This window comes from Homo sapiens, chromosome 2, assembly GCF_000001405.40.
Source record: "Homo sapiens chromosome 2, GRCh38.p14 Primary Assembly".
Taxonomy (NCBI): Eukaryota; Metazoa; Chordata; class Mammalia; order Primates; family Hominidae; genus Homo; species Homo sapiens.
In genome coordinates, this window is record NC_000002.12 from 48,038,388 (window position 1) to 48,055,285 (window position 16,898).

General features: G+C 39.6%; 1 long non-coding RNA gene across 1 annotated transcript in view, besides 2 other annotated features; it reads left to right on the top strand.

Moving 5' to 3' along the window:
- Positions 8,612 to 9,136: an enhancer, noted in NCBI's record as "OCT4-NANOG-H3K27ac hESC enhancer chr2:48274138-48274662 (GRCh37/hg19 assembly coordinates)". NCBI's record gives its function as "activates a minimal SCP1, AML or CMV promoter by ChIP-STARR-seq in primed H9 embryonic stem cells {active_cell/tissue: H9 hESC(primed)}" and the evidence as "EXISTENCE:reporter gene assay evidence [ECO:0000049][PMID:30033119]".
- Positions 8,975 to 16,898, top strand: part of LOC124907765 (uncharacterized) — a 42,973-nt gene continuing 35,049 nt past the window's right edge. The window contains exon 1 of the long non-coding RNA XR_007086314.1: positions 8,975 to 9,377. This is a non-coding gene — a long non-coding RNA (uncharacterized LOC124907765). The remainder of the gene's footprint in view (positions 9,378 to 16,898) is intronic.
- Positions 9,137 to 9,660: an enhancer, noted in NCBI's record as "OCT4-NANOG-H3K27ac hESC enhancer chr2:48274663-48275186 (GRCh37/hg19 assembly coordinates)". NCBI's record gives its function as "activates a minimal SCP1, AML or CMV promoter by ChIP-STARR-seq in primed H9 embryonic stem cells {active_cell/tissue: H9 hESC(primed)}" and the evidence as "EXISTENCE:reporter gene assay evidence [ECO:0000049][PMID:30033119]".

The following is a 16,898-nucleotide window of genomic DNA, read 5'->3' on the forward strand; positions in this document are numbered from 1 at the left end:
GTTTCAACTTTTTTTTTTTTTTTTTTTTTTTTTTGAGACGGAGTCTCGCTCTGTAGCCCAGGCTGGAGTGCAGTGGTGCGGTCTCGGCTCACTGCAAGCTCCGCCTCCCGGGTTCACGGCATTCTCCTGTCTCAGCCTCCCGAGTACCTGGGACTACAGGCACGTGCCACCATGCCCGGCTAATTTTTTGTATTTTTTTTTTTAGTAGAAACGGGGTTTCACTGTGTTAGCCAGGATGGTCTCGATCTCCTGACCTCGTGATCCACCCGCCTCGGCCTCCCAAAGTGCTGGGATTACAGGCGTGAGCCACCGTGCCCGGCGGTTTCAACTTTTTTTACTATGATGTTTCTAGTGGTGGATCTTTTTTATTTTATTGTACGTGGGGTTTGTTGAACTTCTTGGATTTGAAGATTAATATTTATAATCAATCCTGGAGAATTCAGAGTATTGTTAGTTATTTCTTTAAAAGTTTTTTCTGAATATTTCTCTCTCTCCTTACCTTCTGGTGCTCCTATCACAGGTACATGGCTATGCTTGATGCTATCCCACAGGTCTTTGAGACTGGTAATTTTTCATCAATTTTTTTTTTCTTTTTATTCTTCAGATTAAAAAATTTCTGTTAATCTGTCTTCAAGTTGCTCATCGGCTAATTCAATTTTGTTGTTGAGCCCATTTAGGGAATTTTTCATTTTAATTATTGTACTTCTCAACTCTAGAATTTCCATTTGATTCCTTTTTTAATAGATACTATTCTTTTATTGAGAGTTATTTTTAGACATTTTCATATTTTCTTTTAATTCTTTAAATATGTTTTCTTTAATTACTTGAATATATTTACAAAGTCTTCTTAGAAGGCTTTACTCAATACAGTATCTGGGCCTATAAAGTTAGTTTCTACTGATTGATTATTTTTCCCCTGAATGTGGGCCACATTTTCTCATTCCCTTGTCTTGTCTTTTTCTTTTTTCTTTCCTTTCCTTTTCTTTCTTTCTTTTCTTCTTCTTTCTTTTTTCTTCTCTTTTCTTTTTCTCTTTCTTTCCTCTTTCTCTTTCTTTCTCTTTCTTTCTTCTTTCATCTTCTTCCTCTTTCTTCCTTTCTTCTTTCTTTCTCCCTTCCTTTCTTCCTTTTTTTCCTCCTTTCTTCCTTTCCTCCCCTCCTCCCTTCCTCCCTTTTTCCCTTTCTCTCTTTCCTTTTTTTTGAGACTGGATCTTGCTCTGTCACCCAGGCTGAAGTGCAGTGGCATGATCAGGGCTCACTGCAGCCTTAACCTCCCAGGCTCAATTGATCCTCCCGCCTCCACCTCCCGAGTAGCTGGGACTACAGGTGCATGCCACCATACCCAGGTCATTTTTGTATTTTCTGTAGAGACGGGGTTTCACCATATTGTCCAGGCTGGGCTCAAGTGATCCAGCCACCTTGGCCTCCCAAAGTGTTGGGATTATAGGTGTGAGCCACCAAGCCCAGTCTTCTTGCATTCTTCTAATTCTTGTCAATGCTATACTGTAGCAACTCTGCATTCTGATTTTTTCCCCTGATTAAAAAGAAATTTGTTTGAACTTAAATGGTGGAATCTTTTTTCCCTGTGGGTTTCAGGCCACTGCTGATGTCTCTGCTCAGATTTTTTATTCTGATTTTTATTCTTTATCGAGGCTAACTAGAGTTCATCACTGTATCAGCATAGCTTAGTGGTCAGCCAATGATTTGAGCAGAGATTTTGCTTAAACACCTTGAGTCCACAGGCATTCACTTACCCTTCTGCTGGCCTATCTATCTGTAGATTGAGGAGTGGGTACATTCAAAGTTCAGCTAGTTCTCAAGTGTGCCTTGACTTTTTTCTTTCCACTGGGGCTCGCTTGGGTTTTCCCTGTGTATGTGTATTGTTTTCTAGTCAGTCAGGGATGGGTGGAGGGCTAATCTAGATCATCTGTGGCTATGGCATTTCTAGGATCTCCTTGTCTACCTTTTCTCACTGATTGACCCAACTGTGATCAGAAACTCAGGCTAACAGGGTTGTGAGTTTTACCTCTTCATTTCCTACCAAACTTGCTTTTTTTTTTTTTTTTTTTTTTGACTGACAATGCTGCCATGCTTCCAATGCCTTTTGCTTCCTGTCCCAAGTCTAGTCTGCCCTCTCTGGCAGCAAAGCTTCTGATTTTTACAATCTGCCTCACCTTTTTAAGGTTATCATTCTCAGCAACTAAACTGGGAATGGGAGAATGGGAGTGGACCCAGGCAGGAAGACCACAGATTCCTGAGGTTCTGATCTGAGGTCCCAGCAATTAAAAAAAAAATCAATAAATGCCTCATAATTTATTTCCCTTTGGTCATTTTTCAGGGTCCTGAAATAGTTGTTTTTGACAATTTTGTCCAGATTATACTTGTTTTGTGAAAAGAGGACTTACCTACCTCTTAATTCTGCTATAGCCAGAAGCCCTGTCTACATGTTTGACAATTTTTTAATTGGATGCCAGACATTGTGTATTTACCTTGTTTGTTGCTGGATTTTGTTTTATCTCTGTAACTACGATGGATTTTGTTCTGGTGCACAGCTGTTACTTGGCTTCATTTGGCTTATTTTGAGGCTTACCTTTAAGCTTTGTTAAGGCAGATCTAGAGCAGCCTTTAGGCGAGAGCTAATTTAACGTTACTGTTAAGGTGTTGCCCTTTCAAGAACTCTACTCAAGTCCTCATGTACTATGAGTTCTTTTTTTTTTTTTTCTTTCAACTTTTAAGTTCCACGGTATATATGCAGGATGTGCAGGTTTGTTACATAGTAGGTAAACATGTGCCATGGTGGTTTGCTCCACAGATCAACCGTCACCTAGGTATTAAGCACAGCATCCATTAGCTATTCTTCCCGATGCTCTCCCTCCACTCACCCCTCCAACAGGCCCCTCCATCTGTTCATGTGTTCTCATCGTTCAGCTCCCACTTACGAGTGAGAACATGCAGTGTTTGGTTTTCTGTTCCTGCGTTAGTTTGCTGAGGATAACAACTTCCAGCTCTACCCATGTCCCTGTAAAGGCCATGATCGCATTCCTTTTTATATCTGCAGAGCATTCCATGCTGTTTATGTACCACATTTTCTCCATCTAGTCTTCATCAGTAGGCACTGGGGTGATTCCACGTCTTTGCTATTGTTAATAGTGCTGCAGTGAAGATATGCATGCATGTATGTTTATAATAGAATGATTTATATTCCTTTGGGTATATATACTCAGTAATGGGATTACTTCTAGATCTTTGAGGAATCGCCACAGTGTCTTCCACAATGGTTGAACTAATTTACATTCCCACCAACAGAGTAAAAGCATTCCTTTTTCTCCTCACCCTCGCCAGCATCTGTTGTTTCTTGACTTTTTAATAATTGCCATTCTGACTGGGTAAGATGGTATCTCATTGTGGTTTGGGGTTGCATTTCTCTAATGATCAGTGATGTTGAGCTTTTTTTCAGTTTTGTTGGCTGCATGAATGTCTTCTTTTGAGAAGTGTCTGTTCATGTCCTTTGCCTATTTTTAATGTGGTTGTTTTCTTGTAAATTTGTTTAGGTCCCTTGCAGACTCTGGATATCAGACCTTTGTCAGTTGGATAGATTGCAAAAATTTTCTCCCATTCTATGGGGTGTTTGTTTGCTCTAGTGATAGTTTCTTTTGCTGCTGAGTTCTTTTTACTCTGAGTAGTAGGAGCATGAACTATTTTAAGATCTATGAATTGTTCTGCCTACTCCTTTCAGTTGGTTCTTTCTCTGGCTTAGGGTAGATTCTCTACACATGTTATAGATCAATACTCAGCGAGAGACTTGATGAGATTTCTCTGCAGACTTTCGGAGTGCACTCTCTCCCTATGCTGCTCACATCTTCTCCAATACTCTACTCCACAAATTCTAGCCATCTTAATCTTGCCTAGCTAGATCTCTATCTGTGAAATTCATGGAGATCTGTTTGGTTTACCCCTCCCAGTAATATGAACTAGAAACTGCCTGCAATTGTAGGGCTCACCTTGTTTGTTTCCCTTCTTCCAGGGACTACAGTCTTGTACTACCTGTCTGAAATAGTTATTTTATATATTTTGTTCATTTTTTCTCATCTCTTAGGGAAGGAGAGTAGATCTTATCTCTGTTACTCCATTTTGGCTGAAAATAAAAGCTAAAGATTTTAATTAGGGAAGAGAAGTCAGTTTCTTCATGATTTGAGATTACTGTGGTTGCTTTGTAGATAATGAATTATATGGAAGTAAGATTTGTCAGTTAGGAGGTTTTAAGTAGTAGTCCAGGGCAGAGATGAATGGTTGCCTGGTCTAAAGAAGTTGTGATTAATGAAAAGCAAAAAAAAAAAAAAAAAAAAAAAAAAAGGAAAAAGAAGATAGATTGAAATGTGTCTTGGACATAAAATGGATAAGACCTGCTGATTATTTGGATGTAGTAGGCGATGAAGGAAAGTGAGCAGAAAAGGATGACCCTGACTAGCCTGAAGCCCAGCCAATTTTTATTTCCTTTAGCCTCTTTTAAACCTGTAACTTGACTTCTTATTCTGCCTTTACCATTCTGTTCTTTGAGCCCAATTTCCTTCCTTATTTCTTGCTTCCTTCTCTGACAACAGAAAATGCTGAATGGTCAATCCTGTAAATATGGAAGAGAATGTATTAGTTATGTATTTGATGGGCATTGAAGCCCCAGTAGAGACAACTGATTCAGTGGCCCATGTCAAATGGCCCCAAAGAGTAGATGAGGACTCAATAGAACCAAATCAGGTAGGACGTATAGGATCCACTATTATAATCTAATCAGCAAGATTTCAGGCAAGCAAAGATTTAAAATAGGTCCCACTTTAAGGAGTGTTCCAAAAAAGGGAAGGGTTCTTCCACTGATTGAGGCTTTAGCTGAGGAAAGCTCAGAGCCATGTGGTTGGCCCTATCCTGGGGCTGACAGTCATAGCAAGCATAACTTCCCTAGATATGAGGGGTTTTCTTGTTTATCCCAGTAGTCTGTGGCATTTGTGCTCAAAACAAGAGTCACTTCCCCTAAGAAGCGTGGCCTTTAATTACAGGCTTTGTATTGGGAGATCCCAGAGCATGGAGTACAAGAGGCCGGAGAGATATCTTAAACTTTGTGTCAATGCAGTGAACAAAAACCAGTCACCCTTGAGGACTGGGCGTGAGTCTGGAGATGGAAATCAGGCTGTTCCTGGGAGTCTCTGGAATTCCTCTGCAGGTCTTAGTGCCACATAGTTTAACATGGCATTATTTTGTGCATTATTCTGTAACTGCTTTGTTATGTCTCAGTTTTTAAATCCTCAGTTAGTTTCTGAGGGCTGCCACAACAAAGTACCACAAACTGGGTGGCTTAACATAAATTTACTGTCTCACAGTTCTGGAGGCTGGAAGTTCAAAATCAAGGTGTCAACAGGGCTATGTTTTTCTTCCATCAGCAAGAAAGACTACTCAGGGACCGGCATATTTACTTTATTGGACCAGTTATGTCAAGTCTAAAGCTACATTTTCCTATGAAACCTATGGGGAAGAATTCTGCTTTGACTCATTTAGCTTCTGTGTTTGCTGGAATCCTTGGCATTCCTTGGCTGATACGTACGTCATTCCAAAGTCTTCCTCTGTTGTCACATAGCTATCTTCTTCCTCTTTGTCTCTGCACCTTTTCTCCTCTTCTTATAAGGACACCAGTTGGTTATATTGGATTAGGGACTCACCCTACTCCAGTATGACTTGTTCTTAACTAACACATCTTCAGTAACCCTATTGTTAAATAAGGTCACATTCCGAGGCACTGGGAGTTAGGACTTTTTTTTTTTTTTTTTTTTTTTTTTTTTTTTTTTTTTGAGACGAAGTCTCGCTCTGTCGCCCAGGCTGGCGTGCAGTGGCGCGATCTCGGCTCGCTGCAAGCTCCGCCTCCCGGGTTCACGCCATTCTCCTGCCTCAGCCTCCCGAGTAGGTGGGCTACAGGCGCCAGCCACCACGCCCAGCTAATTTTTTTTTTGTATTTTTAGTAGAGATAGGGTTTCACCGTGTTAGCCAGGATGGTCTCGATCTCCTGACCTCGTGATCCGCCCGCCTTGGCCTCCCAAAGTGCTGGGATTACAGGGGTGAGCCACCGCGCCCGGCCGGGAGTTAGGACTTTCACATTTCTTTCTGGGAGACACAATTCAACCTATAAGGTTGAGGACCGTGTCTCGGACTTTCTTCACATCAAGGAAACTTAGAGCACTGCTAGGCAGTTTTCTGCTTTGGGTAGAACTGAAGGAAAATTAAGGACTATGATTTCTTTTAAATAAACAGATTTCGGCTGGGCACAGTGGCTCACACCTATAATCCTAGCACTTTGGAAGGTCGAGCCGGGAGGATCTCTTGAGCCCTGGAGTATGAGGTTACAGTAAACTATGATCAACTCCACTGCACTCCAGTCTGGACAACAGAGTGAGACCCTGTGTCTAAAAAATTAAAATAAATTAAAATAAAATGAAACAAATTTTATATAAGGATATAATATGTTTAATTGTAACAGAATAGTACTTTGATATTAACTGATATAAGTTCCCTATGATTCTTTTTATTTATCTTACAGCCCTTCCCTCATTCTTGAGATATAGATTGTCTTAGGAAAGGTTGTTGCAGAAAAATCGGAGAACAAAAGAGTGAAATTTTACCTTTTGAGTTTTAAAAGCTTAGGTCCAGAAAGAAGGCAAAAACATTAAGAATAATACTTGATTAATCAAAGATAGTTCTTTCTCCCTCCTTTCTATCTGAGATTAGATAAAGTGTCCAGAACTGGGGGAGGAATAAGAGGAGCATCTGAGAGAAAGCAGGACCAGTTTTTTGTTCCTCAGCAGGGGTCATATGGCTTGCCCCCAGGTCAATTCCTGAGGAGTATGAAGGAAGCAAGATCTTCCCCAGATGGGAATAGGGATTTAGGAGAAGAGGAAGATTATATCTTGCTTTCAGGGAAGTTTTAATACTTGTAGAATTTTCCTGTCCAGGTAGGATAGAAGCAGAGTTGAGTGTTTCCTCTATCTCTGAGAGGGGCACAGAAGTACTCAAGGTAGAGCCAGCCTGGAGAGACCTAGTGGTCAGGAGCAAGAGGCTGAGAAGGGCTCTGGGACCAAGGCCCAGCTAAATGATGGACATCTCAACACATGCAGTTACAGAGAGATGACGGTGCCTCCCTTCCTATGCCATAAACTCATGTAATCCCAAAGATAGGTCCCTGGATTGACTCACTAGGTTTCTACTACTATATGGAATGAGGCTCATAAAGTAAATTATGTTTGGTTATTAAAAAATAAAGTTAATTTCTTTCAATCCTTAATTTGTGACCTGAGATTTATTTCAACTCCATAAAGAAAATGATCATTCTACACTTGCAAGCTGCCTCATATTTCTAGGTGGCCAGTGGGAACTGAAACTGTTCTCTGGGCAGCCAAGTGTAACATCAGCATTTTCCCAGACTACAGAAGTTATTTCTGTACCATGTTACCCATGTTACCCATTATTCTGAAGCAATCGATGTGTTAAAATGGTAGAATAGTCTTTGAAAGGCTCAGTTATCACACTAGCTGGGTGGCAACACCTTGTGGGACTGGGTCAAGGTCCTTCAGGTTGTGGTTAATGTTCTAAATCAATATCCATTCTATAGTGCTATTTCTACCATGGCAAGCTTTACAAGTCTAGGAAGCAAAAGGTGGAAATGGAAGTTGTTGTTCTCATGATCATCCCTAGTGATCCACTAGCACAATTTTTTTTTCATCCCCAAAATTTTAGGCTCTACTGCTCTAGAAGTCTTAGTTCCAAAGGAAGAAATGCTTCCACCAGGGACACAATGATTCCATTGAACACTCAGTTGAGAAGACTGCCACTTGGCCACTTTGAGCTCCTAATGCCACTGAATGAATGGCATATCAAGAAAGGGGTTACTATACTGGCTGTGTTGACTGATCTTGACTATCAAGGGAAAATTAAATTGTTACCATGGAATGAATGGCTATGTCTAGAATGCAGGAGACCCTCTAGGGAAACTTTTAGTATACTCATATTTTGTGATTATTAAGTCAGTGTAAAACTACAACAACCTCCAATTCAAGCAGAACTGTTAATGGTCAGACCTTTTAGGAATAAATTTGGAAACAGATAAGGAACTGTGACTAGTTACAGGGCTTGATAAGGAAATATGAATGCTTAGTAGAAGAAGGCAGTTATAAATACCAGCTATGACCACATGAACATTGCAGAAAAGAGGACTACGATTGTTGTGAATACTTACTTCGATGTGCATATTATGTATATATTAACCAAATATTTTTGTTTTCTTCCTTCCTTCTCATCTCCTTATCTAATATAATATATGCTAAGTTAACTTTTTTCTCAATACTTAAGTTACAAGATATCAAAAAGTGACATGTGAATCAATTAGGAGAAGAATAAAAGATCACCCAAATCAAAAAGAGGACTTTTTATTCTCTTTACATAAAAGAATTAACGCAGGGCTCAACAAACTATGGCTCATGAGCTGGTCATCTATTTTTATAAAAAAGTTTTTCTTGGAACACAGTCATATTCATTCACTTATGCATTTTCTATGGCTGCTTTCATGATACAATGCTAGCATTGAATAGTTGCAACAGAAACTATGTGACCTATAAAACCTAAAATATTTGCTATCTGGCTCTTTAAGAAAAAGTCTCTGACCCCTGAGTGACCATATTTTTGGTTGCATGGCGATAATTGTATTATGTTAGGCAGAAGCATGACTTTATTATTTCCTTTATTTGGAGGTTAACTATGGAGATATGTATGCCTGCAAACTTGGCAAAGAACAGACTGAAGTGGCTTTGTAACGTGTTGCCTTGACTAGGCTGAACTACATTTCCCAGAATTCCCTTTCTTGAATGTTTCCAGTTAGGCTGTATTACAAGAGAGATTCCCCTGGGGGATTTGGAGACTGTAAATGAAGCAACAGCCATTTTGAAACACACATACCTTGTCTGTTTCCTTGTTGGTGTGGGCAGTGGCCAGGACTGGAACTGCTCCATCTTCCCCTGGATCCTCCTTCAGCTTCTCTGACTCTTGGGCCAGGAGTGTGTGTGTGTGTATCTGTGTGTGTGTGTGTGTGTGTGTGTGTGTGTGTGTGTGCGCCTAATTTCATGACAAAGGGCCCTGGCTTCTGCATGACCAAGGTCAGAGGCAACAAGTACAAACACAGGTTTTTGCCTGTCTTATTGGCTCAAGCTTGTGCTTATGGGTTCCAGCTTGTTCTTGCTCTCCCTATTTTACATCTTGACTGCCTGCCCTGAGGACTTCCAGCTCCAGCATCAGATGCAATGACAATACCCTTACAGAGACTAGTATTCAACCAGCAACCACAACTGCATAAGGTAAAATCTCTATAACACATTTATATATTTCTTAAGGGGTCAATATCTTTGATTAAACCCTGACTGATACATGCAATAAACATTTATAAAAAGGCATTTAAATGTTCTAATTAGATCAATTTTTTTTGCTATCCTTTTGTTGTTAATTTCTAAGTTTTTTGCATTTTTTCAATAAATATACTTGTATGAATGCTGCTTTTTGTTTATGAACATTTTCTTTATGGCCTAATACATGGTTAGTTGTAACTCTTTCCACATGTTTCTGAACAATGTGTAATCTCTGTTGAGTGCAAATTTCTATATAACTTGTTACCATGTTATTAACTCTTGCTATGCTTAATTTTGTGTTTTCGATATCTTTTATAGAGAAGTGTGTTAACTTTTAACATGATAGTCATTCTGTCGATTTCTCCTTGTAAAATGCTAGAATCTTTTCTCTTCATATTTTTTTGAAACTATATTGTTAGGTGCATGGAAGTTCATGACTAATATAGTTTCTTGGTGGATTGTACATTTTATCAATATGAAATACCATTTTTACCCCTTTTAATGTTTTTATACTGCATTAATATTTGCCATTTCTATTATATAATAATTGAGATAATATATAATGTGCTTGGTCTCTCATGTCTGACAATAGGAAGCAGGCAATAAATAGAGGCTGCTATTATTATTGTCATCCTTGTAATAAATATTATTCTATGTCCCACAGTGTGCAGATTGGTTTCTTTGGGAGACAAAGAGGGAAATAAAGGACTAAAGGAATTCAGATTAAGAAAGAGAGCAACTGCCTCTCAGGCACTGCATAATGATGCTTAGAGTTTCTTCTCCTCTAAACAAGGTGATGGAAACTCCAGGGAAGAGAGGCCCCAGGCTTGGACAGATCACCAGAAAGCCTGCCAAAAGAGTCTTCCTAGGCAGCCAAGAGAATACAGCAGAAACAGATTTTCTTGTTGGATCTTGGCCTTTTTGCTTTTGAGGCCCAGCTGAAACTAGGAAGGGTAAAAGCAAAACAAGGTCAGACCTAATAGTAAATGTGCTCCTGTGGTTGGAAGGTTAGAATTATCTCTTCAGAGATTCCCTTGAATTTACATATATTTATTCTAATTCTGATAATAACCCTCTGACGTAGGACTGATGCACTTCATTTCCAGATGAGGAAACTGGTGTTCACAGAGGCGAGAGATGTGGTCAAAGTCTCAGAGCCAGTAAATGCAGAGCCAGGGTTTGAGTGCAGCTATAGCTCCAGAATCCATTCTTTCCACTCTGTCATGCTGCTCCTCAGAGCAGCTCTCAGTGAGTCATCTTGGTGAGGGGCAATGAATTTGGGGTCAGGCGCAACCTTCAGCAAGAGCTGAGATAAAAGTGCAAAATAGAGAGTAAGCCACAAAAGAAATAGAAGTGTTTGGAAATGTTGGAGAAAGGCTCAGGCCCATGTTGAAGCTACTCCCTGAACTCTGTGCCATTTTCCAAATGGACAGAACTGTGATGAGAGACACAGCGATAATTCCTCTGAATGATGTTTCTCAGGTCTGAAGAGATGGAATGCACTGGGGATTCTCTCAGCCTTGCCATTTGAGAATGGAGAGTCAGGGAGAAAGCGAAGGGCTGGAATTAGAAATTCAAATGCAATCTGATGAAACCACTTTTGACTCCACAGTTAGTAACTCCAAGCTGGCTCATTCCTTTAAATCTTGAGCCCGTCTCAAATGTAGTATACGTTAAGCACCAGAAATTACTGATCTCTCTTTCCATATGGCCAGTGCATCTCCCCACCTCTGGAATGGAAGAAGCAATAAATGCTGAATAAGACATTTCTTCAGGAAAGACCAAGAGCAAACACATTCTAAAGATGAGGAACTTTGTGAAAAATGTAGACCCAGTGCAGGAAAGAAACAGGTTGCTTGGAAGTATCTGCTAGGGATTTTTTTTTTTTTTAAACTAGGTAAGTTTGCCCCAGGCACATTCATTCAAATAATAAAATGAGAATGGTGTTTGCAAGAATTTAAAAAGGTCCTTAAACTCCTTTCTAGTCAGAATAGATTATTACAAAATGTTCAAGATAGCTCTTCAGAATTTCATTTGATGACCTTGACATGAATTTAAAGCAAATCTCTGCCTTAAAAGTTGTATTGGTAGAGTAATTAAAAGTATGTGATGTTCTTTGCAGAGAGGTGTTCATTTGATGAGAAACTAGAGAAAAGCTTTTTCCTAACAATGTTATTGCAGCTCTTTGCAAGAACTTTAGTAAATTCTGGCTTCTGTCCTAGGTTAAGTTAATTAGCAGTAAGTAATTAGTAGTATAGGTAAAGATAATTAGTGTATATAAGATAATGATTGAAGTTAAATCAACCAGGGATGGGGATGGAAAGGTGCGGGGGGGATGGCACAGGCCAAGTTCTGGAATTAATTGCCAGAGGCAAAGTGAGTGAGGCTCCTGAATAGGCTCTGGGCCATATGGTAATCAGAAGGATCTGCTCTAAAGAGATCTTTGATGTTGGTTTATTCTTCATGGGATTCCTGGGATTGAAAGACAAGGGCAGCCTTCTAAAGCCCTACTTGATTTGCAATTTTTTTATAAAATAGGTCTGGTGAATAATACCTAATTTTCATTACTCCCAAATTAAGTTACAGCATTTCACCCAATTTCTACCTGGATGAATTCAGTCCATGAAAAGGGTCAAACTCTGTAAAATATTTGAAGAGAGTTATTCTGAGCCAAGTATGAGTAACTATGGCTGGTGACACAGCCCTCAGGAGATCCTGAGAACACGTGCTCAAGTTGGTAGGGGTGCAGCTTGGCTTTATACATTTTAGGGAGACATGAGATATCAATCAAATACATTTAAGATATACATTGGTTCAGTCCAGAAAGGCAGCACAACTCCAAACTTCCAGGTTATAGGTAGATTTAAAACTTTTCTGATTGGCAATTGGTTGAGTTATTATCCATAGAGAGGAATTGTCTAGGTTATGATAAGAGGTTGTGGAGATCAAACTTTTATCATGCAGATGAAGCCTCCAGATAGCAGGTTTCAGAGAGAATAAATTGTAAATATTTCTTATCAGACTTAAGGTCTGCCTTGATGTTAATGCTGGAGGGTATAAAAAGGCACGTCAGACCCTCACTTCCCGTCAAGGCCTGAACCAGTCTTTCAGGTTAAATTTTAGAGCACACCAGCAGATGAGGAAGTCCATTCAGATGGCTGGGGGTGGCTTAGAATGTTGTTTTTGGTTTTCAATTCACAATGCAGAACTCTTTCATTGAAGAAGTGGTTACACGAAAGGGGCCCCGATCCGGACCCCAAGAGAGGGTTCTTGGATCTCATGCAAGAAAGAATTCAGGGTGAGTCCATAGAGTAAAGGGAAAGCAAGTTTATTAAGAAAGTAAAGGAATAAAAGAATGGCTACTCTAGACAGAGCCACCCCAAGGGCATCTGGTTGCCCATTTTTATGGTTATTTCTTGATGATATGCTAAACAAGGGGTGGATTATTTATGCCTCCCCTTCTTAGACCATATAGGGCAACTTCCTGATGTTGCCATGGTGTTTGTAAACTGTCATGGCACCGGTGGGAGTGTAGCAGTGAGGACGACCAGAGGACACTCTCATCACCATCTTGGTTTTGGTGGGTTTTAGCTGGCTTCTTTACTGCAGCCTATTTTATCAGCAAGGTCTTTATGATCTGATCTTGTGTTGACCTTCAGTCTCATCCTGTGATTTAGAATGCCTTAACCATCTGGGAATGCAGCCCAGTAGGTTTCAGCCTTAGTTTAGCCAGCTCCTATTTAAGATGGAGTTGTTCTGGTTTACACGCCTCTGACATTTCCCCCATCCCTTTTATAGGAGAACCCTTAATCCTAAGGGTTGCAGAGGGATGAAGATCCATCTTCTGCAACTTCTTCAGGCTGAATAGGGGCAATTATGTTCCTGCCTAACTATTAGAGTCTTTTGTGTTTAGGGTAGAGAGGAGCTCAGTCAGAAAGTGTTGGTATGGCGAGGGCCATTCAAAACTCCGAATTCTGACAAAAGGTGATATCTGGAAGATTAATAAGTGTTCAACTTAAGAAAACATTCAGTAAACTTATCCTGCATCCCTACACAAAGAGTACAACAGCAATATATTTCACAACAGTAAAGCAAAATAAGTAAAATTATTCCAGGCAAACTAAATTAGAAGGCTTTCCATGAACTAGGCAACTGTTGGAACCAAGCTGATATGGGGTTGCTAGAAGATTCCACTGTGTGCCCAGGATTAGAATATTGATCCAGGTTTTTACATCACCCATCTGAGCAGCAGCCAGAGATCACTGGTTGGTTCACAGGAATAAACAATGTTAGCCTAAATTGCAGAAACAATCTTAAAAACAATTGATGATACTAGAATCTAATAACAACTGTACCATAGTTTTTGAAACATAATTTTTCTCTCCAGTTTCCCATATTTACTAAAGACAAATTATGGTAAGACTGATTTGCTTTATTATGCTTTGTCTGATTATTTGTATAAAGTGCAGCAGGAATAATTATTTTTTCACATAGGCTTTTTGTAAATTGGCTTTGATGGAACTGTTTCATAGAAGGAATCTCAGATAAGACTTTTTTAAAGCCAAGGCCAGCCATGGGTTTGTGCCCTCAAATATCTAAGAGTTGAGTAAATTCCTCTCCTCTTGGGGTCCCAAGATAACCTGGGGCTCCTGGACCTGTTCAAAAGTGACATTCTTTACTTACAACAGGTCAGAAACCTTGTACAGGGACTGTTGTAGGCGAGGTATGAGGCTAGTTCCCCAAGGGGCTTTTATTGGCTCTATAAGTCAAATTTGAGTTCTTAAAGGAAAGCATGCCATTCCGGACAGTCTTGGTAAAATAACCAATTTTTCCAACTGTGTCCTGTTGCAAAAGAAAACAGATTCTTATTGCACTTATGCAAATAACTATATTGCCATAAATTTAGAATAGTTAGAAATAGTTTCCAAATTCTGGAGAAATCAGGTAGGAGAAACAAATAGGCTCCAAATTTTGTCCACAGGGGTATACTTTACTCAATTGTTGAAAGCTATAAATAGCTTAAAAGAAAAGTTTTCTTAACTCTGCAAAACAAAACAAAGGATCAGTAACTTTTTTATTTTTTATTTTACTTTAAGTTATAGGGTACATGTGCACAACGTGCAGGTTTGTTACATATGTACACATGTGCCATGTTGGTGTGCTGCACCCATTAACTTGTCATTTATATTAGGTATATCTCCTAATGCTATCCCTCCCCCTCCCCCAATCCCACGACAGACCCCGGTGTGTGATGTTCCCCATCCTGTGTCCAAGTGTTCTCATTGTTCAATTCCCACCTATGAGTGAGAACATGCGGTGTTTGGTTTTCTGTCCTTGCGATAGTTTGCTGAGAATGATGGTTTCCAGCTTCATCCCTGTCCCTACAAAGGACATGAACTCATCCTTTTTTATGGCTGCATAGTATTCCATGGTGTATATGTGCCACATTTTCTTAATCCAGTCTATCATTGATGGACATTTGGGTTGGTTCCAAGTCTTTGCTATTGTGAATAGTGCCACAATAAATGTACACGTGCATGTGTCTTTATAGCAGTGTGATTTAAAATCCTTTGGGTATATACCCAGTAATGGGATGGCTGGGTCAAATGGTATTTCTAGTTCTAGATCCTTGAGGAATTGCCACACTGTCTTCCACAATGGTTGAACTAGTTTACACTCCCACTAACAGTGTAAAAGTGTTCCTATTTCTCCACATCCTCTCCAGCACCTGTTGTTTCCTGACTTTTTAATGATCGCCATTCTAACTTGTGTGAGATGGTATCTCATTGTGGTTTTGATTTGCATTTCTCCGATGACCAGTGATGATGAGCATTTTTTCATGTGTCTGTTGGCTGCAATAAATGTCTTCTTTTGAGAAGTGTCTGTTCATATCCTTTGCCCACTTTTTGATGGAGTTGTTTGATTTTTTCTTGTAAATTTGTTTAAGTTCTTTGTAGATTCTGGATATTAGCCCTTTGTCAGATGGGTAGATTGCAAAAATTTTCTCCCATTCTGTAGGTTGCCTGTTCACTCTGATGGTAGTTTCTTTTGCTGGGCAGAAGCTCTTTAGTTTAATTAGATCCCATTTGTCAATGTTGGCTCTTGTTGCCATTGCTTTTGGTGTTTTAGTCATGAAGTCCTTGCCCATGCCTATGTCCTGAATGGTATTGCCTAGGTTTTCTTCTAGGGTTTTTATGGTGTTAGGTCTAACATTTAAGTCTTTAATCCATCTTGAATTAATTTTTGTATAAGGTGTTAGGAAGGGATCCAGTTTCAGCTTTCTACATATGGCTAGTCAGTTTTCCCAGCACCATTTATTAAATAGGGAATCCTTTCCCCATTTCTTGTTTTTGTCAGGTTTGTCAAAGATCAGATGGTTGTAGATGAGTGGTATTATTTCTGAGGGCTCTGTTCGGTTCCATTGCTCTATATCTCTGTTTTGGTACCAGTACCATGCTGTTTTGGTTACTGTAGCCTTGTAGTACAGTTTGAAGTCAGGTAGCATGATGCCTCCAGCTTTGTTCTTTTGGCTTAGGATTGTCTTGGCAATGTGGGCTCTTTTTTGGTTCCATATGAACTTTAAAGTAGTTTTTTCCAATTGTATGAAGAAAGTCATTGGTAGCTTGATGGGGATGGCATTGAATCTATAAATTACCTTGGGCAGTATGGCCACTTTCTTGATATTGATTCTTCCTATCCATGAGCATGGAATGTTCTTCCATTTGTTTGTGTCCTCTTTTATTTCGTTGAGCAGTGGTTTGTAGTTCTCTTTGAAGAGGTCCTTCACATCCCTTGTAAGTTGGATTCCTAGGTATTTTATTCTCTTTGAAACAATTGTGAATGGGAGTTCACTCATGATATGGCTCTCTGTTTGTCTGTTATTGGTGTATAGGAATGCTTATGATTTTTGCACATTGATTTTGTATCCTGAGACTTTGCTGAAGTTGCTTATCAGCTTAAGGAGATTTTGGGCTGAGATGACGGGGTTTTCTAAATATACAATCACGTCATCTGCAAACAGGGACAATTTGACTTCCTCTTTTCCTAATTGAATACCCTTTATTTGTTTCTCCTGCCTGATTGCCCTGGCCAGAACTTCCAACACTATGTTGAATAGGAGTGGTGAGAGAGGGCATCCCTGTCTTGTGCCAGTTTTCAAAGGGAATGCTTCCAGTTTTTGCCCATTCAGTATGATACTGGCTGTGGGTTTGTCATAAATAGCTCTTATTATTTTGAGATATGTCCCATCAATACCTAATTTATTGAGAGTTTTTAGCATGAAGGGCTGTTGAATTTTGTCGAAGGCCTTTTCTGCATCTATTGAGATAATCATGTGGTTTTTGTATTTGGTTCTGTTTATGTGATGGATTACGTTTGTTGATTTGCGCATGTTGAACCAGCCTTGCATCCCAGGGATGAAGCCCACTTGATCATGGTGGATAAGCTTTTTGATGTGCTGCTGGATTCAGTTTG